The sequence below is a fragment of the Homo sapiens genome, chromosome 1, assembly GCF_000001405.40.
Source record: "Homo sapiens chromosome 1, GRCh38.p14 Primary Assembly".
NCBI lineage: Eukaryota > Metazoa > Chordata > Mammalia > Primates > Hominidae > Homo > Homo sapiens.
The window spans coordinates 178,934,877-178,961,291 of NC_000001.11; the positions used below are offsets into that span (position 1 = coordinate 178,934,877).

The 26,415-nt window shown below is 48.6% G+C and overlaps 1 long non-coding RNA gene across 1 annotated transcript, besides 3 other annotated features; it reads right to left on the reverse strand.

The window, feature by feature from the left end:
• Positions 1–2,022: 2,022 nt before the first annotated feature.
• On the reverse strand, positions 2,023–4,195 carry LOC102724754 (uncharacterized). The gene is made up of 3 exons (XR_426873.4): positions 3,941–4,195; positions 3,083–3,200; positions 2,023–2,102 (listed from the first exon to the last, which is right to left on the reverse strand). It is a non-coding gene; the product is annotated as an uncharacterized LOC102724754 (long non-coding RNA).
• Positions 4,294–4,793: an enhancer, noted in NCBI's record as "H3K4me1 hESC enhancer chr1:178908305-178908804 (GRCh37/hg19 assembly coordinates)". NCBI's record gives its function as "activates a minimal SCP1, AML or CMV promoter by ChIP-STARR-seq in primed H9 embryonic stem cells {active_cell/tissue: H9 hESC(primed)}" and the evidence as "EXISTENCE:reporter gene assay evidence [ECO:0000049][PMID:30033119]".
• Positions 7,804–8,004: a silencer, noted in NCBI's record as "peak477 fragment used in MPRA reporter construct". NCBI's record gives its function as "represses an SCP1 promoter by STARR-seq MPRAs in K562 erythroleukemia cells {active_cell/tissue: K562}" and the evidence as "EXISTENCE:reporter gene assay evidence [ECO:0000049][PMID:32103011]".
• Positions 11,412–12,197: an enhancer, noted in NCBI's record as "H3K4me1 hESC enhancer chr1:178915423-178916208 (GRCh37/hg19 assembly coordinates)". NCBI's record gives its function as "activates a minimal SCP1, AML or CMV promoter by ChIP-STARR-seq in primed H9 embryonic stem cells {active_cell/tissue: H9 hESC(primed)}" and the evidence as "EXISTENCE:reporter gene assay evidence [ECO:0000049][PMID:30033119]".

The window sequence follows — 26,415 nt, forward strand, 5'->3', positions numbered from 1 at the left end:
TCTCCTCCTCCCAGGGCTGCTGAGGCCACATGGTAAGCCTACTGCTGCTGTTCCTATGAGTTTCCTTTTTCAATGTGTTTTTTAGGAGACGAGGCCTCACTGTGTTGCACCACCTGGAGTGCCATGGCTATTCACAGGCACAATTGTAGCTTACTACAGACATGAACTCCTAGGCTCAAGTAATCCTCTTGCCTCAGCCACTCGAGTGCAGGGACTACAGGTGTGTGCCACCATGCCTGGCCTGTTACCATGACTTTCCAATTCAGCAAATTTTCTGTAATAGGATGATTGAGAGGTTTGTAGTTCCATAATGGTGGCTGGCTATAATGATTACCTATAACTATATAATTGGGAATAAACTGAAACAGGTGCAAACTCTAATCAGCCCCAAATAACATCTTAATGACAAGTAGAGGACAAATTAAATGGAAGCAAAGTCGTAGGACAGAGTACAGAAAAGCATGGTGACAGGAGTTTCTTGTCTGTCTCTAAGGAAGTAGGATGGGATGGAGAGTCAATTCAATTTAGACAGAAGCTGAAGATCAAACAACAGAACATTTTAGCTTCTATTTTAACTATGTATTTTACAGCTGGATTCCAAAGAAGATAAATAAATTATATTTGCACCTATCATCTTTTCAAATATCTTTGCCAACAAAGTCATTCAATATATTGAGTGTCCCTGTGGTCAAGATCTTACACATTTAATGTATGAAAGAGGAGAGACAAGGCCCTGCAGCAGAAAATCTCACAATTTGAGGGAGAAGAAATGGGAGCAAGGAGTTGTTTAAGAAAGACAAAATACATACAAAGTAATGTGTCCGCAAGTGGGAGCCATGATAGCTGTGGGTGTGGAGTTGCCACATGATGATGTTCCATGGCTGGCTGCCTGATCAAGCGGAGCCTCAAAGGTCATCTGTGGCTTGGTAGAGGCCTGGGTCCAGATCGGGCCCTTAACTTTTAAGTTTCAGAAACCCCATGTTGTAATCAGCCCACACAACGTTGACCAGGCCTCAAGGAATGGACTCTTGCCAACCAAACTCCCATAGTAGACTGACGGGAAAACCAGCATGCCAGTTGAAGTAATGTACCATCAGAGACACACCTTTCTAATTACTATGCAGGGGACCCCTTTCTGCTGTGTACCAGAAAAACTGAATTAGCATTTAGAAAACTACTTGTTAAACAGGAATCAGGGTAAAAGAAGTCTTCAGGAGTGTGTGGCTCAGATCGTTGGTACAGTCTGGAACATTTTTGCCATTCCCTGACACCCCTGGGGAAACACTAGCTAGATTCTTACTCTTCACCTCTCTTCTTCTAGGCTCCTTACAGACTCTTTCATGCCTTTAATTATCTTTACTTCTCATCAAATAACATGACTTATTACAACTTACCTTGTCATTACTTTTTGTAATTTAATCTTCCAATAAACTTTGGGTATCTAATCTTGATGTAGCAAACCATGAAATCCTCAGCAATATGTTTGCAAAACCACCCCAAGGATGGGTTGCATCTGCAAGTGTTTAATCTCAATTTATATTGTGAAGATTCTTATGGCTTCCCCTTCAAATCCCGACACCCTTTGACCTTGTCCCCAAATTCCAGAGGTGCTATTATCCATACAGACATATGTTATAGATTCCAGAAGTGCTAGAAGATTCTGGAAGATAAGAGGAACTGAATTTATATTGCTCTGAAACAGGATGCACAGAAAAGCAAGTCTCACACCACTCCTCTTTCATGTCTGATGCAGCACAAGTGTATAGACAGCTCATCCCTGGAGCTCATGATAACAGAGTTCCTTCTAGCCTACTTCAGTTGTAGTCAGCCCTAGCTACTATAACAAAATACCATAGACTGGGTGGTTTAAACAACACACATTTATTTCTCACAGTCCTGGAGGCTAGAAAATCCAACATCAAGATACCAGCAGATTCTGTTTGGGTGAGGGCTCTTGGCTTGCAGACAGCCACCTTCTCACTGTATCCTCACGTGGTGGGGAGAGTGAGCTCTGGTCTCTTCCTCTTCTTATAAGGACACTAATCCAGTAATGGAGGTCCCACCTTCATGCTCTCATTTAAATCTGCCAGAGGCACCACCTCCTAATAAATACCATCACACTGGGGGTTAGGGCTTCAGTATATGAATGGCAGGGGCACATTCAGTCCATAGCAAATGCCCACCAGGTTCTGCTATACCAGATATTTTCTATTAAGTGGAGAAACTGTAGATAGTTTTCTTTTTTTTTTTTTTTTTTTTTTTTTGAGACGGAGTCTCGCTCTGTCGCCCAGGCCGGACTGCGGACTGCAGTGGCGCAATCTCGGCTCACTGCAAGCTCTGCTTCCCGGGTTCACGCCATTCTCCTGCCTCAGCCTCCCGAGTAGCTGGGACTACAGGCGCCCGCCACCGCGCCTGGCTAATTTTTTGTATTTTTAGTAGAGACGGGGTTTCACCTTGTTAGCCAGGATGGTCTCGATCTCCTGACCTCATGATCCACCCGCCTCGGCCTCCCAAAGTGCTGGGATTACAGGCGTGAGCCACCGCGCCTGGCCAACCGTAGATAGTTTTCAGTACACATACAACCATTTTGGTTTTGGGGGCCCAAACAAAAGGTGGTACAGAAAGTTTGTTTTCTAACCAGCTTATTAAATGAGTTTCAAGTACAGAGTAAAGAAAATTAATGTAACTAAATCTTGGGACATGATTTTACTGAGGATTGTCCAGGGTCTTTTGAGGCCGCAATTAGAGATGAGACCAGACCTTTCCATTCCTCATCTGCTCTGCTGGACTCCAGAGCACTGCCTTCCTCCAAAAAGGAAAATTAGAAACAAATTCTCAAGTGGTTTGATAGTAATTCAGCCCAGCAAATTTTACTTTCCATTAAAAGTCACCAGCTGTCATGTGCTTAGCTTTAAATGGAAATAACTTGCTCTCAAAAAACATTTTTCAGTTGATGTCACTTGTGAGTTTTATTTTCTCCTAATGAAAAATGGATTTGCATTAGTGCAACTTTGGGGACAGGAAACCCCTGGATGGAGGCCTGAGCTGGTGATCTGCCCCTGCCCTGAGGAAAGCTAATTACCGGCCGGCCAGCGTGGAAGATTGATGCTGCGGTCAGGAGGGGACTTTGGGGAACAGAGGGGAGGAGTGTTGATAATGGTCTGTCTTCTTTGCAGTGAGAGTCCCCACGGTGCTTCTTCCTTTAAAAAAAAAAGAAAAGAAAAGAAACGTAAAAAATGCTTTTAAGTGTTGAGATTTTGGAGAGGGCAGTGAATATTTTAACACGATTAATGTTTTTTAGGGAGGCAGCCCTTCTCAGCCTCTAATACTCCCGTGCTCAGAGCCTGTCACATCTGAGGCCTCATCCCTACAGAGCTCTCTGTGGAAGAAGACTCTCTGTGGCCCTCCACTGTGTTCAGGTGCCTCCCAGAATCTCTTGTCGGTGACAGCTGGAATGATCTCTTCATGACCCTCAAGAACAAAACAAAGAGAATCTCTCGACTGAAGCTCCTTGAAGGCTGAACTAGTCCCTTACGCAGTCCTGCCTCTGTGGCACCTCACAGGAGAGCCAGGACACTCAGGAGCCCCCTGCAGTGGTCCTGGCAGACAGAGGAGGCAGGAGGGCAACGCCTAGAACCCTCGGCTTTCCCTACTGGGAGCCCCTGGTCAGGGTGGGCAGAGCAGACTCTTGAAGAGTCATTCCAGCAGGGGCCTGACCCACTGAAAAGAATGAATGGAGAGACCAGAGACACTGGGAGCTGGTGGAACTGGGAAACAGAGAAAGGGAGAAGCCAACAGCCACAACATTCACAGGCCCCCAGACTGAAAGCTGGCAGTGTACTTAAAACCGTGTCCTTAAGTGGGCTGTCTTGCCTCACCGGTCCCCTACATACATGCACACGCATGCACATGCACACACACACAGGCATCACACACCCACCTCTGGGGCACTGTCCATGAATACAGCAGCACTCAAACCTGGGGCTATACCCAAGTGCCATCCCAGCCTAGGCAAAGCTTCCCTCAACCCCCTGTCTCCATGCTCACAGAAAGGGCTTAGAAGTGTCCAAGAATTTTTGAATAATGTTCTTGACAGACACCAAAGCTTTTTCCTCCTCCAGAGCGTGGAGGGCTGGGGCTGCCCCCAGGGAAGTCTCCCCTGGCAGCTCCTGTCTGAGCAGCTGGGGCCAGCTCCAGGAACACTAAATTCTGGCTGCGTTTCCAGTCAAGGCCGGGTTACTTTAGAATCCCTCTTCTCCCCCCTTGTCTTTTCAAGCAGGAGCCAGCCAAGGTATTCGTCATGTTTCCGAGCTACCCTGCTGCTTGATTTATGTGCACGCAGGGCTGGGACGAAGATGCCAGAGCGGGGTGAAGGCTAACCCCGAGGGTGAGGGGAAGTGGGGTGCTGGACTCTCCCGTCACCCCAGGGGCCACTGAAAGGGTCCCTGGTTTTTGTATCAACTGTGTTCAGCTCAAGGTTGGAGACCATGTGGACGCCACAGCCCCGGGAGCAGAGGAACAGAGACAACATGCTCTCCAGCTCTCTTGCTCTTGCTCTCTTTTTTGTGTCTCACACTGTGAGATCTTGGCCATAAAAGGAATGAAGCTTTGCTTGCCCTCTCACTGGGCTTCTCCTAAAAGGGCTTTCCGAAAAATTTCCAGCCTTCTCCTTCGGGACACTGGATGTGGTCTCTTTGGCCAAAGAGAAAACGAGTAACAGACGAAGCCCTTGCAGATGAGGAGGCCAAAACCGAAATGTTAATCACCTCGAAATATGTGCACTGCTCTCTCCAGTGCCTCGCTTGGCTCTCCTCAGAGGATCTTTGATGGGGGATTTTCCCCCTGGGGGTGGGGGATTTGCCATCAATATTTGGGAACACGTTTGAGGGTCCAACTTGCAATGACAAGATAATTGTCATTCAGTGTCTAACGTGCCTGTTGTGGTGACTCTGAATGGTTGAAATATTGATTGCAGCTCTTGGTTAAACTAATACTCCTACAACACTCCCATAAAAGCTCAAGATGCTGTCATCCAAAATGAATAAAAATGCCTCTTTTTATTCCACTGCATATGAAAACATGAGATCATTGGAATATATTTAGAGTGAGATTTGGCAGCCTATACATGTTTACAATTCTTGGACTCAAAGCTCTAACGTGAATCGGAGGCACTCTTTTTCGTCTTCGCCTTCTTTTCTTTCTCTAAGAAGGTGAATGCTGATTCCAAGAGTTCATAATCCCTTTTCTTCGTATTACCCAAAGTTAACCTTGCTAAGAGACTAATGACATCCTCAGTTCCAATGGCCAGCTAGAAAGCCTGAGCCTTGACGTGTTAATGCAATGATTCAACCACTGACGTGGCTCCTCACCATCCATCACCCAAGGCAAAGCCTCCACTGGGCTTGAGAAGATTATCCAAAAGTCCTGCCGTTTCCTCAAGTCTTTGAACCATGACTGGGTCTGATTCTATTGGATAGAAGTCTGCAATGCCTTAGGGTCAATGACTCTTGTTATTGCATAGATTTTGGTTTCTTTCTGAAGGAAAGCATGGAATCCTTCCTACTCCAGGAGGAAGGCAGGAACAGTGTGGAATCAACACAGATGCTGCCTGTGCTCTCCTTCCTTGTACTACCTCATCTCTAAGGGGCTGGTGCTTGACCCTGACTGCACATACGATCATCTGGACAGCTTTAAAAACACTGAGGCCTGGTCCCCAACCCCCAGCGATTCTGATTATATTGATCTAGGGCACGCCTGAGCACCAAAAGTTTTTTAAGGTGTTATACTCTATCTTATTTATGTATTTTGTTTTTTGTTTGTTTTTTGAGATGGAGTTTCACTCTTGTCACCCAGGCTGGAGTGAAATGGCACAATCTCAGCTCACTGCAACATCTACCTCCTGAGTTCAAGCAATTCTCCTGCCTCAGCCTCCCTACTAGCTGGGATTACAGGCATACGCCACCACGCCCAGCTAATTTTTGTATTTTTAGTAGAGACAGCATTTCACCATTTTGCCCAGGCTGGTCTCGAACTCCTGACCTCAGGTGATCCACCTGCCTCGGCCTCCCAAAGTGCTGGGATTACAGGTGTGAGCCACCACACCTGGCCCCTAATTATGTTTTTTAGAATTAACGTGCAGAGAAAAAAGATTTGGAAGAACAGTCACCAATATGTTAACTATCTCCAAGTAATAGAATTGAGAATTTTTATTCACTTATGTATTCTTCTGGGTGTCCTGAAAAATTTTTTGCAGCAAAGGACATTTCAACGAAACAAATTGATAGTATAAAGGAGGGGAAATGCTATTTTCCACTTAAAAGGAAGGAAGTTCAGGATACTCAAAATAGAACTCTTCATCTCCCTCCCTAACCTGACTCTCTTCCTGCATCCCCAGTTCTGAAAATAGCACCAGGTTCTCACCAGCCCACGTCCCACAGGCATCCCAGCCTCCTACCTTCCCTAAACCCATTCATCCAATTACTTACTAAGTCTCCACATGCAGCTTCCTTCATACTTAAATTTCCTGACTCCTGTTCACACAGGTGCCACGCCCACTGCCTCTCAGTTTGGGTTTCCACTACCTTGCTTGCTACCGATGGGGCTAGGCTGGCTCCTCAGCATGCTCTCCGCCTCCATGCGGGCACCCTGCAGCCGTGGTGATCTTCCCTGAAACCCACATCCGCTCCTGCCACGGGCCTGTTAAAAACCTGCAGTGGGGCTGGGCGCAGTGGCTTATGCCTGAAACCCCGCACTTTAGGAGGCCAAGGTGGGCGAATTGCCTGAGATCAGGAGTTTGAGACCAGCCAGGGCAACACGGTGAAACCCCGTTTCTACTAAAAATAAAAAAAATAAATTAGCTGGGCGTGGTGGTGCATGCCTAATGCCAGCTATTCAGCTATTGAGGCATGAGAATTGCTTGAACCCGGGAGGCAGAGGTTGCAGTGAGATCGCACCACTTCACTCCAGCCTGGGCGGTACAGCAAGACTGCCTCCAAAATAAATAAATACGAATAAAAACCCGCAGCGGCCTCCTCATTTCCAGAGCACACTGGAGCAACTTGCATGGCTTCCAAGGCCCTCCGTGATCCGATCCTGCCCACCTTCACAGGCTCCGGCCTTGCAGCCCTTGCCCTGCACCCTCCCACCCACCATGAGCAACAGCTGGAGGTCCCCCCCCATGCATCATTGTCTCCCTGACTCAGAGCCTTTGCCTGTGCTGCTCCCGTGCTTGGAACGCCCTTGCCTTCCCCATCCTGTTTCCCCCGGGTCACCCCTGCCACTTTACCGGCTCCTCAACACAGTCTCTTGCGTGCTCCTGCATGCTTTCACGCCTGTGTCTTTGCTTAGCGTTGGTGATTCCTCTTGTCTTTGTCTGTCTCCCCACTGCTGTCTGACTTCCTCGAGGGCCAGGAGCTTTCATCTGTGTCCAGGCACTGCCCATACTGCCTAGCATCTCCTAACCACTCAGTAAGCGAGTTAAGGACTGAGTGGATAATATTGATTCTTTACATTCATGCAGCTCTTTATGATTTTTCTAAGTACTTTCTTATGTGTGTTTGCGGTTGGGTTTTGTGCCCCTGAACTTGTTTTCAGCAGTATTGCCTGCACCATCTGCATTCTCACTTGAGGCTGGCAGACAGGAGAGGTGGTGAAAGTGAGGTGCAGCATGACCCGGAGGGGTCCTGCTGCCCAGGTCACACAGCTGGTGCCTGGAAGACCCAACAGCCCTCCGTCTCCGCCTGTGTTCTCCCCCGCACCCCATGTCTCCCATATGCTGGCTCCACTGCGCTGGATTTGGAGACTGTGCTGGATCTGGAGTCTGCACTGGGTAGTTGCCCACAAAGAGATGGAGATTGTCAGCCACTTCAAATCCTGGCTTCCCCCTTTTCCTGTCATGCTTTTAAGCCAGGAGATACAAAGAGGAAACCACAGCTCTTGAGATGAGCTACTCAAGAGCATGCAGTCTTCTACCATCAACATTTTCTAGAGACGAAGCCGACTCAGTTTGTGTGGATTTCGCCTCTCTGGAGGAAACACAAATTCACTAATCCCTTCCATTTTAATCAAGCCTGGGAGGGAAGGGCTGCCAGGGGATCCTTTCCAGAACGTAGTCAGTGGGGAAAATGCAGAGCCCCTGCCTTCTGACTCACCGGCCAGCAGACCACTTCCTGAGACGGTACATGAGGCAATGACTGAAATTGTGGCTGTGGCTCTGCCAATCAGCCGGATTCGGGAGATGTTTCTCTGAGGTAGAATGACATTAAAAGGGCCCTGTCCCTGGCACATCTAAAGTGATCCTCACCTGAGCCTTTCATTCAGTCTCACTCAGAGAGGGCTTCTCAGCTACTCTCCACCCAAGCAGGGCCAGAGGTGCACTTTCACTACCCTTTTCCCGAGAAGGTACCAGGGTGGGGGTGGGAGAGACTGGGAGGACTACCCCCCATTCCCCGATTTCTGCTCAGATTATCCTACAAGCTAGAGTGTGAAGCCCTGGGATAGACACTGCCACCACAAGAGCAGAAAGTCATACAGCTGAGCTCAGTAAACTCTTAACCAGCAGCTACCATGTGCCAGATATTATGCTGAGAGCTGATCAGATAGGGATAAATTAGACATGGCTGGCCAGGCGCCTCACGCCTGTAATCCCAGCATTTTGGGAGGTCAAGGCAGGTGGATCACCTGAGGTCAGGAGTTTGAGACCGGCCTGGCCAACATGGTGAAACCCTGTCTCTACTAAAAATACAAAAAATTAGCCGGGTATGGTGGCAGGTGCCTGTAATCCCAGCTACTCCAGAGGCTGAGGCAGGAGAATCGCTTGAACCCAGGAGACAGAGGTTGCAGTGAGCCGAGATTGCACCATTGCACTCCAGCCTGGGCAACAAGAGCAAAACTCCATCTCAAAAACAAAAACAAACAAACAAAAAAATTAGACATGGCTCCTTGACCAGGCAAAAGAATGCACACATATACACAACCAATATGTCCAGAAGATAGTGAAGAGAGGTACAAATCAGGTGCTGTGGAAGTTCAGGAAAGACTGTTTCCAGTTGAGAATTCGAGAAAGGCTTCTTGGAGGAGCTGGCATTATTTTAGCTGGAACTTGAAGTGAGGGTAAAATTGGGGCAGAAAGAATTATTGCTTGAGGGTTTGGGGGGATGGGGTGGTAAAGATAGTAAAGGCTTCTCAAGCTGCAGTATCTGTGATTAGGTTGACTCACATGAAATTGCTGATAGTCTATCGGTATTGACCTACAATAACACCAACTTCAGATGGTCCAACATCATACTTCCTGGGTACAACATGGAAGTGGGAAAACACCACTTGTAGAGAAAAACCCAGGCCAAAGAAGTTCAATGTCTGTCAGCAACTGGTAAACTTACACTAATTTAACCTTTTAATAATGTGTTGACAGAGATTGTCTAGGGATGGCATTTTCTACTTTCTCAAAACAGGACTAGGCCGGGCACAGTGGCTCACGCCTGTAATCCCAGAGCTTTGGGAGGCCAAGGCAAGTGGATCACTTGAGATCAGGAGTTTGAGACCAGCCTGGTCAATATGGTGAAACCCCGTCTCTACTAAAAATACACAAATTAGCTGGGCGTAGTGGCGGGCACCTGTAATTCCAGCTACTCAGGGAGCTGAGGCAGGAGAATCACTTGAAACCGGGAGGCGGAGGTTGCAGTAAGCCGAGATTACGTCACTGCACTCCAGCCTGAGTGACAAAGTGAGACTCCATCTCAAAAAAAAAGGATTGGTGTTATAGTTTGTCTATTGTCCAAAGACCAGTTCTATTAGTCTGTCCTCATGCTGCTAATAAAGACATACCCAAAACTGGGTAATTTATAAAAGAAAGGGGTTTAATCGACTCACAGTTCTACATGGCTCGAGAGGCCTCGCAATCATGGTGGAAGCCAAAGGGGTAGCAAGACATGTCTTATATGGCAGCGGGCAAGAGAGCATGTGTAGGGGAACTCCCCTTTATAAAACCATCAGATCTCGTGAGCCTTATTCACTATGATGAGAACAGCACAGGAAATACCCACCTCCATGATTCACTTACCTCCCACCGGGCCCCTCCCATGACATGTGGGGATTACTACAGTTCAAGGTGAGATTTGGGTAAGGACAGAGAGCCAAACCATATTACCAGTCCAAGTGAGACTTTGCACTTCACAACTGGACTGAATTTACAAGTCACAGGAAGGCAGTATTGTACCCCGAGTCCGAAATATTTGAGTCTACATTCCAACACCACTGCATATGAACTGTGTGATCAGCTTCATAACTTTCTGAGGCTTGGTTTTCTCACCTGGAAAATGATGACAAAAATAATACTTCCCTTCCTCACAACGTAGTTGAAATGATTAAATGAGATGGTGCCTGTACACTGCTTAACACAATGCTGGCCTATAGGCAGCACCCAGTAGCTGTTTGCAGGGTCATCATTTATGTCAAGAGCACAATGAGCACTGAGGGATGACCCCATGTCCACGAGTCACAAAAAGAGTTGCATCTTTGCGTCTTAGAGCCATAGTGTGTTTCGATGGAGGCAGCAGGACGGTCGCCTATTTGAGCACCTATTTTAGTCTTAAGTAGAAAAGGGAGAAAGAAGATACAAGAAAATATGTGATGCTTGAGTTTCTCAGGTTAGAAGGACAAGAAGCTCCACATGATCCCATTCAGCCATTTAGTTGCTTTCAGCCTCAGAGCAAACCTTCTAAGGAATTTCATATTCCCAGGTCTCTCCTGGCAGGCACGCCTGGCTCAGAGGTAGATTTTTTTTTTTTTTTTTTTTTTTGAGCAAAAGGGTTTCTGCAAGGTACCAAGTCAACCACCCTGGAGTGGTTCCCAGGAAAGCAGTGGTGATGGCTTGGGCACCAGAGGCTCGGGAAAAACAGGTGCTCGGCTTTCCAGGAAAAGAAATCTTGGCCACTCAGAGGGGAATCTGAAACCAGAGAGGTAAGGTAGCTGAAGCGCATGTCCCAACCAAGCCTGGGACGGGCCAGGCACCTGGGCAGGACTCCTCTCTGCTGCACCAGGCGGGCGTGGACGCTTACTTTCTTGGTTCCCGAAGCACTCTCCTGCTGGGGATGGCGACAGTGACCACCCTTAGGAAGACTGGCTTGCATCAGTACGGATTTTTAAGCAATACACAGCATTCTAAAGTCAATAGGGTTTGTGATGGGCGCTGCTCCGAGTAAGGAAGCGGGTGTGAGGGCACAGTCTCTGGCAGCCCCTCCTGACTGCTGCCTGTCCTTGGTGAACCGAGGGGAGGCAGGGCGTGCAGGGGCCGGCTCTGTCTTTCGGTTCCCAGGGCTGACTCAGCAGGCATCTTCCCCTGTGTTTCTCTTCATCTTCCCTCCCCTCCCTTCTAACAGGAGTTGGTGGAGCTGAGGGCAGGGACAAGTTTTAAATGCTCTGGGATGGCGCCGTCTTTGGGAAAAGAGAGCCTTGTAAAAGCCCCGAGAGCAGTTCTCTCTGCAGCCCTAAAAATTTTCCCTGCAGCTTGAATTTTTCATTCAAGTCACCATTTCCAGTCCTGCCGACAAGTCAGAAAATGGCTCTGACCGGGAGCAACAGCAGAGACAGAGGGCGGCCCAGAGACAGCGTGGTCTGATGCAGGGACACCTTGGAGCCATCCCAGAGCCCTGGGGACCAGTTCACGCTGTGATATTGGTTCCTCCCTCCACAATAGAGGCAGGCGCAGGCCAGAAATCCTGCCACACCGGAGTGGAGCTTCAGGCCTCAGCACATGAGGGGTCTTCTCTTTAATTCCCTGTCATCCGCACGCGCCCCCTGCTGCCCCTCACCTCGCCTCATCCAGGGAAGCTCTGCAGACTTTTCCCTCTAACTTCAAAGACGGCATCAGCCGCCACTTGGTCCCACCATGACTGTCCTTGAGGCACAAAACTACCAGGAGAGATTAGTTCTGCAGAAGCTGAGAGAGGGTCCGGTCCACACCAGGCTCTCCTCATTCAGAAATGAGTGAATGTGCAGGCCCAACTCAAGGACCTCAAACTGTAGGGGAGAGGATGGGAGGGGAGCACAAGGAGGGGCCCCATGGGGTCAGACACCTTTTCCTAAGGTGTTCAAGCACTGTCTGTGCTGGCAGCAGCCCCAGGAGGTGATATTTCAGTTGAAAACTGGAAAGGAGCCAGGGTAAGGGCAGTGTATTTGCAGAAGACCAGGAGGTAGAAATTGTGACTGCTTTGGCATCTGGGTGAAAACAGGAAGTAACACAAAATGAGCCTGGAAAAAGGATGGGAGCAAGATCAGAAATGGACTCACGGTTGGGCACAGTGGCTCACGCCTGTAGTCCCAGCAGTTTGGGAGGCCAAAGTTGGAGGATTGCTTGAGGCCAGGAGTTTGAGACCAGCCTGGGCAACATAGCAAGACCCCATCTCTACAAAAAAAAAAGTTTTAAATTAGTGAGGTGTGGTGGCACATGCCTATAGTCCTAGCTACTCCAGAGGCTGAGGTGGGAGGACTGCTTGAGACAAGAAGTTTGAGGCTACAGTGAGCTCAAACAGTAGAGTACAGTAGAGCCACTGTACTCTAGCCTGAGTGACAGAGCGAGACCCTATCTCTAAAAAGGGAGAAAAAAAAGAAAAGAAATGGCCTCATATGTGGTGGTGTGCTGGTCAATGTTTAACAGGCTGTGGACAGGGGGTGGGGGGGGCGAGTGCTGATTTGTAATGTTTGTACCAGTTTCTGTGGTGTTAATATTAGAATACCTCCCATTGTGGTTGACTTCACTCTACCAATGGTTTAATATCTGGCTCACCAAAATTCCTGCAAATTTAACAATCAACTTGCAAGCTGATAAGGGCTGGCTCGAACACGCCTGCATCATATGTCACCTGTTACCTTTTCACCCACTTCCTTGTCACAACATCCCTAAGCAGTCCTTGGAGGGAGGGGAACCACATTAATGAAGTCACTTCAGGCTGTTGCCACAAGTATCTCAGTCTCACTCACCTCCCCCTGCCCATGGCTGTTCCTTCTTTCTGTCCCTCATGGATGCAGGCATGGACATTTTTCCTGGAGTTTCATAAAAACCACTCACGTAAGGCATTTATAGTGTAGCCAACTTATAAAAACAAAGAAGGTTCACATCACAGCAATGCTACTCACATCAAATGAAATATTAAACACCCTATTAAATTTTTCCTTGGCCATTGACACAATCCTGGGCTTTGATCTTCTGCCATATTGCTTTTCCCCCATGCTCTCCAACCTTGGTTGACCCTTTTCTCCTTGACACTCCCCTCAAAATGCTTCTAGTCCATCATAGAGAGCAATGCGGCCCTCCCTAGCCACCTCCGCCCCAAGTCCTGTGTCCACCCTCTCCAACCTTGATTGACCCATCTTCCCTTGACACTCCCTCAAAATACTACCATGGAGAGAATGTGGTCCCTAGCCACCTCCACCTGGTACACAGTCCTGCACTGTTCATGTCATATTCAAGGCGCTGCAAATCTGTAGAATTCCCAGGCATGGAGAGGAATACCAACTACTGTTTACACCTGGCTCAATGCCCATTTATTAATCTTATGCATTTTTAACAATCATCACTCCTTAAACTATGAACATTACTCTAAATATTCACACACTACATAGCTAGTACATCAAACACGTATTTCAAACAAGGTCCGATTTCACACCTATTAGAATGGCCAAAATCCAAAAACACCAAATGCTGGCAAGGATGAGGAGCAACAGGAACTCTCATTCATTGCTGGTGGGAATGCAAAATGGTACAGCCACATTGGGAGACACTTTGGCAGTTTCTATAAAACTAAACATACTCTTTCTGTATGACCCAGCAATCATGCCTCTTGGTATTTACCCAAATAAATTGCAAATTAATGTCCATTTAAAAAAAAAAACCGCACACAGATGTTTACAGCAGCTTTATTCATAATTGCCAAAACTTGGAATCAGCCAAGATGTCCTTCAGTAAATGAATGGCTAAACTGTGGTATACCCAGACAGTGAAATATTATTTAGTGATAAAAGCAAATGAGCTGTCACGAAAAGGCATGGAGAAGACTGCAAAGCCCATATACTGTATCATTCCAACGATATGACATTCTGGAAAAGGCAAAACTATGGAGACAGTAAAAAGAACAGTCGTTGCCAGGGACTAGGGGTGAGGGAAGGATGAATAGATGGAGCACAGAGGATTTTTAGGGCAGTGAAAATATTCTGTGTGATACTGTAATAGTGGATACATGTGATTATACATTTTCCCAAACTCATAGAATGTACAACACCAAGAGTGAATGGTAATGTAAACTATGGACTCTGGGTGATGATGCCGCGTCAGTATAGGTACCACTGTGATTTGGGAAGTTGACAGTGGAGGAGATTGTGTGTGAGGGCAGGGCATATATGGGAATTCTCTGTATTTTCTGCTCAACTTTGCTGTGAACCTAACATTGCTCTACAAAATACAGTATATTAAAAAAACAAAATTGGCCGGGCGCAGTGGCTCACGCCTGTAATCCCAGCACTTTGGGAGGCTGAGGTGGGTGGATCACGAGGTCAGGAAATTGAGACCAGCCTGGCCAACATAGAGGAACCCCGTCTCTACTAAAAATACAAAAACTAACCGGGCGTGGTGGTGCATGCCTGTAGTCCCAGCTACACAGAAGGCTGAGGCAGAAGAATCACTTGAACCTGGGAGGCGGAGGTTGCGGTGAGCCGAGATCATGCTCCAGCCTGGGCAATAGAGCGAGACTCCATCTTGGGAAAGAAAAAAAAAAAAATCATGACCAGGTGTGGTGGTTCACATTTGCAATCCCAGTACAGGACTTTGGGAGGCCGAGGCGGAGGGATCCCTTGAGCCCAGGAGTTTGAGACCAGCCTGGACAATATAAAAAAGACCTCATCTCTTTTTTATTTTTTGTTTTAGTTATTTATTTTTTTCAGACAGAGTCTCACTCTGTCGCCCAAGCTGGAGTTTAGTGGCACAATCTCAGCTCACTGCAACCTTCACCTTCCAGGTTCAAGCATTCTCATGCCTCAACCTTCTGAGTAGTTGGGACTACAGGCATGCACCACCATGCCCAGCTAATTTTTGTGTCTTTAGTAGAGACAGGGTTTCGTCACATTGGCCAAGCTGGTCTCAAACTCCTGGCCTCAAGTGATACACCCGCCTCAGCCTCCCAAATTGCTGGGATTACAGACATGAGGCACCGTGCCCAGCCAAGACTTCATCTCTTAAAAAAAACAAAAAAACAATTAGCCAGATGTGGTGGCACAAGCCTGTGATCCCAGCTACTCAGGAGACTGAGGTGGCAGGATCACTTAAGCCCAGGAGCTCGAGGCTGTAGTGACCCATGATCACACCACTGCACTCCAGCCAGGGTGACAGAGTGAGACCCTGTCCCTTTAAAAAAAAAAAAAATCATGAATTTAGCAAATTGGATTTTCACAAATATTTAGCTTGATTGCAAACTTAAGCAAACACCTCCAACCAAACATTTAATTAAATTCATAAAGAGCAGCTCCTCTTAACTACTTTAAAGATATTAAATATATAAAACTCAAAAAAAGTCATGATTCTGAACTGTTTAATACCCTTACAGCAAAGCCTGTTATAAAAGTGTTAATACAGTGGATTTCGCTTTGTTTTTTATCCTAAGTTCCACACCTTCCTGGGGTGCCAATTTTGACAGCTTCCTAGGATTTCAGTGATTTTTACCAAGTACTATTTTTACCTTCCTAGGGTTTTTAACAATCTTACCAGACCACAAGAAGAAGAAAAAGAACCACCTCGAACTGCTGGGATTGCAGAGTCTGGGTGGTTGAACAGTTGATTCTGGGTAAGGATATGAGGCTGGGCTGCAAAGTCCAAGACGATTCAAATAAGGGGAGCTCCCTTTTCATCATTAAACCTTGTTACTTCACTAAGACTTTTAAAGTCCACACCTTTTGGAAAGGTGTCTGGGTTTTGCAACATTGAATTTTCCCCCTGGAATGAGATGAGTTCACATCTCACTTGGCAGCGTTACACAGTCCATTGCCCTGTCATCATGATATATTGGTGACCTGGGCTGTTAGATTATTAAAAACGTGTGTGTCCTCATTGGTGTTGTATAATAATTTGTAGGGGCCATCGTGAAGTTTCATCAGCTAAGGGAGGAGGCATGGAGTCCGTGAAGTTTGTGCTTCTCTCCAGGCCCATTGGGAACACATGAGGGACCCTTCTTTACCCAGTTGTCATGTGTGACCCCCAGGCTGAGAAACCCTGTCCTAGGACAGTGCCTACTTTTCCCCCAAACAAATCTGCTGACTCAGAGTTCCCTGCATTTCTTCTTTCCTGCTTACACAGCAGAGACAAACACAGATCTATCTTTATATACAGATAAGCAATTAACAGAAAAAACAAAAGACCTGTTCATAGGAAATGCCCTACTTATGAAAGTCAATACACAGTCAGGTGTGGAGGCTCATGCCTGTAATCCAGCACTTTGGGAGGCCAAGGTGGGCGGATCACCTGAGGTCAGGAGTTCAAGACCAGCCTGGGAAACAAGGTGAAACCCCGTCTCTACTAAAAATACAAAAATTAGCCGGGTGTGGTGGTGCATGCCTGTAATCTCAGCTACTCGGGAGGCTGAGGCAGAAGAATCGCTTGAACCTGTGAGGAGGAGGTTGCTGTGAGCCGAGACGGCACCACTGCACTCCAGCCTAGGCAGCAGAGCGAGACTTTGTCTCAAAAAAAAAAAAAAGTCAATACGAATGAACATATCCCATTAGATCCAGCCTCCTTTTAATCTCCAACCACTTCTCTGTACACTTAAAGTTTTTTGAGGATTGTAATGAATCCAGTCTGTCTTTAGCTCAGCCTGTTCCAATTAATGTCCAAATGCCAAGGCGTGGCTCCAGAGCGCCCTTGGTTTGACTCCTTTGTCCTGGCAGTGCTGCACCTGACTTCCTGAAAACATCCTTACCTCCTGGCAACAAGATGTTCCAGACCCATTCTGATTGTTTCCTGCTTCAAGATATGGAATCAACTCTCCTCCAAATAATCCTGGTTCCTTTTAATGGAGAATGCTATTAAAGATCACAATCTGAGTGCTGGCTGCATGTGAGCGTGGAGCAGGGAAGGTGGGGAAACGGGGTAAGCGTGCTGCTTTGGTGGCAACAGAGACAGAAACATATTTACTTGTAAGGTTGTGTTCATACTACTCTTTCCAACTTAACACAGCGTGCCTGGTGGGTTCCACCCACATTTCTCACAGTATGAGCCTTCAGAGGCCACTAAGACCTTCTCCATGCAGACCTAAATAAGAAGCCATAAATTCAGCCTTTACCTTTTCTCCCCATCCCTTCCTGTCAGGGGAAGGAAGCTGGACAGAGATTATTTTCTGACTAGCAGAAACAGTGCCACCACTTTACTCTTGTAAGAAGGCTGCCCTACAAGGATTTGGTTTTCAACTGCTTTCTCCAGCATATATTCTATGGGAATGGGGGTGGGTGCATGATCAACTTTGTATTTTGCACGGACGCCCCTGTAGCTGGGTCAAGGCTGGATGACAGGACAGAGGTCAGGACAGAGAAGCAGGAAGGTCACTCAAGAGTGGGCTGCAGGGCCAGGCGCGGTGGCTCACACCTGTAATCCCAGCACTTTGGGAGGCCGAGGCGGGCGGATCACGAGGACAGGAGATCGAGACCATCCTGGCTAACATGGTGAAACCCCGTCCCTACTAAAAATACAAAAAGTTAGCCAGGTGTGGTGGCATGCGCCTGTAGTCCCAGCTACTTGGGAGGCTGAGGCAGGAGAATGGCAGGAACCCGGGGAGGCGGAGCTTGCAGTGAGCCGAGATTGTGCCACTGCACTCCAGACTGGGTGACAGAGTGAGACGCCGTCTCAAAAAAAAAAAAAAAAAAAAAAAAGAGTGGGCTGCGGCCGTCCAGAATGAGAGCCTTGAACCAGGGAGGCAGCAGTAGAGGTGGAGAGGAGGACATGGAGCTGGGGATTATTTGGTGTCTGGACAGAGGAGATCAAGGTGCATCCCATGTCCCTGGCCCTAGTCTCCAGGTGGAAGGAGGTGCCAGCCCAGGGAGAGAACAGTGGGAGACACAGACACCTGAAGGGCCTGGAGTCAGCTTGGTTTTGACCTTGAGCTTGAGGTGTCTCCATTCAGATGGAAATATCCAGCTGTCTGTTGGATGCATGGGATAGGATGTCTAACACAAACCACAGGCCGAGGAAGCTCCCAAGCTCAGGCAGGTGGTTTGGAGCTGTCTGTTGCCAAGGAGTATTCTCCAGAGGCCGTCAACAGCTTGGGTTGTTTGCTTACACGGCTTGGGAAGACTTGGAGGCACTTCTCATTCTCATTTTGTGTGAGTCCTTGCCAGGAATCCCTGGTGTTTTTACTTAACACCAGAGTTCCAACCCAAATTAGCAAACGGCCCAGGAGGTGGGACTCAGAGAGAGGGCTGACCATGTCTCTCCACTGCCAGCTCTAGAGAACAAGGTTGGGGACCTAGAATCTAGGCCACAGAGGCTTCTAGAGCAAGCCCTGGCGATTCCAAAAGATGGTCTCTGCCTCCCAGGGTTTCCTGGTAGGTTCTGGAGTGTCTGGAGGGACAGTAGGGGTGAGGAATAGAGGAGGGTTTGCAGAGGAAAGATCTTCTCCCACCTCCCATGCAGCAATTTTGGTGGTGCTGTGGGGGTGCTGTGGGACGGGTCTGGCCCAAGCACCACCTGCCCCCCAAGACTTCGCCTTGGCCAGGGCAGCATCTGGGCCCCACCCGCAGAGAAGGCACCACCGCCTCCCTCCCTCGGAGCATCCGCAGGACTGTGCTCATCTGGGAGTGTTGTTTGAACTGCAGCCTGTTTTCACTCAGGGTCTGGACGTGGCAACTTGGATCCTGGTTGTTTACCTAATCTAGCGTTGGGTTATTTTTTCCCCTTTCCTGATTGCAAGAAAGTGCCAAATGTAATCAGCTGTCTGGGCCCATCGCTGTTCTCGGCTCTGAGCCAGAGAAAATCAGACCTAGAGAAGGATCGTTCCCAAGGCCAAAAGCTCACCCAGGGGCCTTGTTCCCAGCCTTCTTTCTCACCTTTCCCCAGTAGGGACCTAACCTCGAGAGTTCCATCTCCTCCTGGCCCCGTCACACTCCAGGCTCATTCCCCTCTCCCAGCCTGAGCTCATACTCTCTCCCCTGCTGGGGGTGCCCTTCCCATTTCCTTACACCTCCTGGGACCCCACCTGTCCTCACAGCTGAGCTTGGCCGTCATTGCTTCCAGCCCACAGTGACTGGGTCCTGGTCACCGCTCAGGACCAAGGTAGAATGTGACCACACCCTGCCTTCCAGCAGCTTCTGACACAGGCAGCGGCGAACGTGTGCGTTAACAATTACAGCCCCAACTGGAAGGATGAGAAATTCCTCTTCGGCATTTAGAGAACATCCTCGAGCCGACTTCGCTGCTGTCTTCCTCAGGTCTCCCAGGCACTTCTGCCTGCCACCTCACTGCCACCCCGCCGCCACCGACAGCACAGCCTCTCTTCCAGCCTGGGTGGGGGTGTGGGCTAGAGTTCCAGCTGCCTCCTGAAGTTGTTGGGAAATGACTTAAATCTTCCTTGCTCACTAGGGCTTGGAAGTGAAGTAAGTCAGACATATGTGGATTAAACCTTGTGATCACCACCGACCAGCGCCTAGAGAGGATGTGCGACACCCGCCTCGCTGCGTGGGAGCATGCAGTGAGATCATTTGCACAAAGTACTTAGCATCCAGCACACGGTACTTCCTCAATAGGTCTAAGCGGGCATTTCTGCATGTATTACATTCCATCCTCAGCCCAACCTTCATAAGGAAAACAAGACCAGCTCATGCTTCCTTCCGTTCTCCAGACTGACGTGCGGTAGTGCAATCTCAGCTCACTCCAGCCTCAACCTCCTGGGCTCAAGCTAGCCTCCCACCTCAGCCTCCCCAGTAGCTGGGACTACAGGTGTGCACCACCACGCTTGGCTAATTTTTTATTTTACGTAGAGATGGGGTTTCGCCATATTGCCCCGGCTGGTCTCAAACTCGTGGAGTCAAACGATCCACCCACCTTGGCATCCCGACCGCTGGGATTATAGGTGTGAGCCACTGCACCCAGCCTCTGTTCTCTTCTTCAAGCACAAATAGATGCATGCACTGCTCCGCAGCCTTGTGCTCTAAATAAGTAGGGTTCACAGGTGAGGTCTTTTCTCATGGCCAAATTGTATAAATGTAGGCAGGGAAGAGGGCAAAGGTTTTCAGAGCCAGAGACGGCACAGAAGTTCCTAGTGATGTCTGGTACGTGTAACTGCCTGTCAGCTGGTGGATGGGAAGCTGCTGTGTGAGCAAATATTTCTCTTCCTTCCCTTCCTCGACCTTCCATTCCTCCCCACACACCCCTTCCAATCTCATGGGTCTCCTCACCAGTGCTGGCCTCCCTGCCCCTCCAAAACATACCTGAAGAAATAATTCCCCCCAAAAAGAAAAATGTGTGTACAAAGATATTCATCACAAAATTATTTATAAAATGAGCCTCGATCTTCAACTATTGAGGAACAATTTAACTACAGCATAAAAAATGTTATAGAAGACTCTACAGATGTAAGAATGCATCAACATGAAGACAAATGTCTCAAAACACATTTATAAGCTGGTTCTAAGTAAAATAAGCAGAACATAAGATTGTTTATAAACACTGTGATTAGAAATAAGTAAAAAAATGTGTATTTCTCTGACTAAAGTTAGAAAGGGGCACAGATAAATGAAAACAATTGTGTAAGAGGAGTAGAAGGGGTTATGCATTGGCATGCTTTTAAATTCCCTTAATGTTACTGCAAAGTTATGTTAATAATAAAAATGTCATATAAAAATAAAAATGCCAGTCCTCTGTCCTATTCCAAGTAAGTTCATGTCAAGATGATCATGGCTTGGAGTTACCTTCCCCTGGTTGTATATTTGGATCTGAAAGAAGCCTCCTGGGAAGGAGACCTCTTAAATTTAAGAGGAAACTCTAGGAGATGAGGTCTGGGACAGGGCAGAGTGGAGCAAGGTCTCTGCTGCCTCAGCACCTGGCATGTGCCCTCACAGGGCGGAGAATTCGGGCACCGGGGGCCCAGGTGGCCATAGAAGGCACCACAGTTTTCTGGGCTCCTCCTATGGGCCAGGTGCCCAGCAGTCAAGAGGTAAATTAGAGATGGTACCCAATCCTCAGTTGCCCCATTCCATGGGACACACAGAGAGACCAGGGTCAGTCCAAGCTACAGTGTGGGTTAAAAGGGCAGGAAGCGAGTCACTGAGGTCTCAAAAGACAAGGAGGGGCCAGACATGGTGGCTCCTGCCTGTAATCCCAGCTCTTTGGGAGGCCAAGGCAGGAGGATCACTCAAGGCCAGAAGTTCAAGACCAGCCTAGCCAACATGGCGAAATGCTGTCTCGACTAAAAATACAAAAATTAGTCAGATGTGGTTGTGTGTGCCTGTGGTCCCAGCTACTCAGGAGGCTGAGGCACAAGAATCGCTGGAATCCGGGAGGCAGAGGTTGCAGTGAGCCAAGATGGCACCATTGCACTCCAGCCTGAGTGACATAACGAGACTCTGCCTTTAAAAAAAAAAAAAAATGCTAGCGGTGGTGGCTCACGCCTGTTATCCCAACACTTTGGGAGGCCAAGGCAGGCAGATCACCTGAGGTCAGGAGTTTGAGACCAGCCTGGCCAACATGGTGAAATCCCATCTCTACTAAAAATACAAAAAATTAGCCAGGCATGGTGGCAGGTGCCTGTAATCCCAGCTACTTGGGAGGCTGAGGCAGAAGAATCACTTGAACCTGGGACGCGGAGGTTGCAGTAAGCTGAGGTCACACCACTCCACTCCAGCCTGGGCGACAGACCGAGACTGTCTCAAAACAAACAAACAACAACAAAAAAAGACAAGGAGGATTTTGTCTGGGTAGGACCCATGCTGGGGGTCGGGGTGCTTTAGGGGAGAAAGCATGGACTTTGCATCCTCAGCTGAGATCCCAGCTCTATCACTTACTACCCAGGTAACCTGGAGCAAACTATTAATATTAGTTTTCTCGTCTGTGAAATGGGCATTTAATGATCTCTACCTGAGTATTAATTCTCCTGTGTATGAAGAGAGGTCATGGATCTGAAAGTACAGTGCCTGCACCTGGCAAGTACTCAGTACATGTTGGCTTTCACACTTATTTTTGGTGGAGGTGGCAGGAAACCCAGGCAGCCTGTTCCAAGTCCACGATGCTCCCACTGAACCACGTGGTAGGAAGGACAGAAAAAAGTGCTATGAATCAGGACAAAAGACACTAGAGCCCAGGCGCGGGGGCTCATGCCTGTAATCCCAGCACTTTGGGAGGCTGAGGTGGGTGGATCACCTGAGGTCAGGAGTTCGAGACCAGCCTGGCCAACATGGTAAAACCCCGTCTCTACTAAAAATACAAAAATTAGCTGGACGTGGTGGCAGGCACCTGTAATCCCAGCTACTCCAGAGGCTGGGGCGGGAGAATTGCTTGAACCCCGGAGGCAGAGGTTGCAGTGAGCTAAGATCACGCCACTGCACTCCAGCCTGGGCGACAAGCAAAACTCCATCTCAAAAAAAAAAAAAAAAAAAAAAAAAAGACACTAGAGACCCCAGGCAGGTTCCAGGAGACCCCAGGGTGTGTGCAGCCCAGAAAATTCCTCTGGGAATTGTTCTTTCTTCCAGTTTTACCCAGTATAAGTTTGCATTTTAACATCACCATCTGTGTCAGTAGTCATGCCACAAGAACTCTAACTGTTCCCAGAGCTGGGTAATATCTCTCCAAAGGATTTGCCCTTGGGTTTGATAAAAGTCGAGGGGAGTAGATAGGTCACCCTGCGTAAGCTCTCTGATCAAGAGCAGCTTTGCAACCTGTTTATACTAAATGTGGCAACCCAACACCTAAACTGAAATGAGTAGCTAGAAGGAGTCCCCATGTGTGTCCTCTGCCTTGTGACAGGAAGAACACTGGATTAGGATCCAGGAGCCTGGAGCTGGGCTCATGTCCTGGTCCTTCTGGGTAGTACATGCCCTCGGGCAAGTGCCTTGATCTCTCTAGGCTGCAGATTCCATCGGCACGATGAGTGCTTCAGGCTTGATGAGCGGTTCTTGCCTCATCTACACATTGGGATCACCTGGAGACCTATTAACACCACATGAAATGATGCCCAGACATCCAGAGAGAGCATAACATTTTTTAATTTTTTATTTTCTGAAACAGGGGCCTCACTATGTTGCCCAGGCTGGACTCGAACTCCTGGGTTTAAGTGAGTCTCCCACCTCAGCCTCCTGTGAGTAGCTGAGACTGCGGGCATGTGCCACCACGCCCGGCTCAGAGACAGCCTAATCTAGGGGTGAGACCAGGACATGGGCATTTCTTTAAAGTTCTCTAGATCATCTTTTTTCAAACTTGGTTACACATTGGAGTCACTTGGGGAGTTGTAAAGACTGATGCCTGCGTCCCACCCCCAGAGAGTCTGACATAATTGATAAAGTGGGAGGAGCCTGGGCATTGGTGGGTTTCAAAGCTCCCCAGGTGATCTTAATGTACAGCAAAAACGCCTCTCAGCTGGAGGCATCTCCTCAGCAGGCCTGCATCACACTGGCTGCCACTTCCTCAGTCTTGTCAGACTTTCATTCCTGCTCAGAAAGACATCCCTTGAGAACCTTGAGTAGAATCAAAGCCAGGAGCGGCCAGGGATGCCCAGGGCAGCTTGCAAAGCTGAGGCCCCTGCAACGGGCCGGTGCGCCCTGGCTGGAGTGATGCAGGTTGGGCGCTTGCTGTCCTGGCCACCCCAGGCTGAATGAGAGTGCTGGCTGCAAACAGGGCTCGTGGGGCCGTGTGTCCCAGGCCATCATCCCTCCACAGGAGCCCCGGAGGCAGCTAGAAGGGCGAGAGCACAGAAATGCTGTTCCTTCAGAAGATGTGGGTTTTGATCTTGGTCTGAATCCTGGGTGAGTCCCTCATCCTCTCCACCTATTAATTCATTTTTATACATGCTTTGCACCAGTATTGATCAAGCACTGTGCTGGGCCCTGAGGGAAAGAGGAGTTGGACACGAGGCCTGCTCTCAAGGAGCCAGGTATAGTTGTTGGTGCTGGGCTGAAGGTGGCTTGCTGGAGGCGCGGGGGGCAGGGGTGGCGGGGGTGCATTTTAGCAAAGGATCAGAAAAGGCCAGCAGTAGAAAAGGCCAGCAGTACACGTGGAAGGCTGCACCCCAAGTGTACCATGTGTTCATGTGTGTGTTGTCTGGGGCAAAGTTTCCAGGAGGAGAATCTTCAGGCCAAGGAGCAGACTGGGCAAAGACACAGAGCTGTAAAAGGCAGGACCGGGATGCTGCGGAGGGAGGCACAGACAAGGACCCAGCCACACCTCATGTGTGATGCTAAGGCTTTCGAGCTCTGTCTTGGGGACCCAACTTCCCAAACACATGATCCTGAGCCAAATAAGGTCACAGTCGCAGGATCAACAGCGCTTCCCAGTCTGCCTCCACCCGCTGTTATGGGACGCCCACGTCAATACCCCATTATCCTCAGAGTCCTCGGGGTTGTGTCAATGCATGTCGGGACAGTACTGTGGTGCCTGCCCCACCCCTGCTGTGCCTCCTCCCATTCCCTGCAAAGTTGTCTACCACCGAGCCCAGGGAGGGACACGGGGGCACTGTGGGTGGCTGCTGAGGCGTCTCCATGCTAGACTTCTGATATGGTTTGGCTCTGCGTCCCCACCCAAATCTCATCTTGAATTGTAGCTTTCATAATTCCCTCGTGTTGTGGGAGGGAGCCAGGGGGAAATACCTGAATCATGGGGGCCGCTTCCCCCACACTGTTCTTGTGGTAGTGAATAACTGTCATGAGATCTGATGGTTTTATGAGGGGAAACCCCTTTCGCTTGGCTCTCATTCTTCTCTTGTCTGCTGCCATGTGAGATGTGACTCTCACCCTCTGCCATGATTGTGAGGCCTCCCCAGCCACGTGGAACTGTGAGTTCATTAAACCTCTTTCATTTGTAAGTTGCCCAGTCGCAGGTATGTCTTTATTAGCAGCATGAAAACGTACTAATACAGCCTCTTTATGTGAGCCTCTGCTCAGCTGCCCTGTGCTCCTGGGGGCTCAGGGAGCACCCATGGAAACCATTCCATCCTTTTTGTCTTTTGGTCTGATTCCCCAGAGGCACTCAAAGCCACCTCTCTCTATCAGACACCCATGCCCTGCCTTCTTCCCTTAGGACGAGCTCTCCCCAAGGAGGCTCCATGGTCCCTCCTGGAAATGGCCCCGGCATCCAGAATCTGGAGACCCACACATATTTTTGACCATGGGGAGCACCCAAGAAGCCAGACAGTGGTACCATCTGTTTTCCTTTTTAGATTAAAATAAAGAATGGAAAGTTGAAAATTCATTTGTCATCCTTGAGCAGGCCATGCCCCTGCGCATCAAGGTTTGAGACTGAGTGGCGGCGTCACCTCCACAGCAGCACCTTAGCTGTTAGCACTTCACAGCTTGAAAGGGTGTTCACTGACGTTTCCTCAGGAGACGCACAGCTAACGTATGAGGCAGGAATCGTTATCGTTCCCATTTCACAGCAGGATAAATTGAGGCTCAGAAAGATGAGACGATTTGCCCAGGTTGCACAGCTAGGACAAATAATCCAAATCGAAGTTTTCTGGCTCCAAAAAACTGGCTACATCAAAGTGCTGACAGCATTTTTTAAACTATGAAGTGCTACTCAAATGGCAAGCATTAATAATTATTATTATTTCCACCTCCTGCAGCTTGGCTTAAAGCCCCGGTGCAGCCTGCACTTCAGACCTGCTGCACTGCACACACACACCCCCTGCCACCCACCCCTCCCTCAGGAAGAGTCACCATCAGAAGTGGGCAGAGCTATGAGACTCTCATGCACCCAAGATCCAGCCCCCAACAAAATGTGACTCCCCATCTGGTTTCACATGCATCTTTGTACTTTCTGGCTGTCCTAACTCCGGCATCCATCGTTCCAAAAGAAGTGTGCAGGGAGTGGAGTGGGACTCACATGGGAAGGACGAGAGCGTCCAGCCTGATCTGCTATGAGGCTCGGAGGTGACAGGCCCTGGGGGATGCTGCTTTGGGCATCTCAGTGGCCCAGGGCCATTCAGGCTTCTGACTTCTTTGAGTATAGCCTGAGTGCTTCCCCCACAGTTTGCCTTTGCCAGGATGTGAATTCCTGTTCCGAAAGTGTTGGGAGAGATGGGGTAATGCAGAAGACAGGGACAGGAAAGAGAGGGGAGGTTCTGAGGCTTTTGGAAGTCAAATACTCCCTAGGAAACATTTCAATGTATAAAAGACTGAGAAACATATGGACTGAATTTTCCCAAAGAATACACATGGATTTAAAAATTAAAGGGCAAGGAA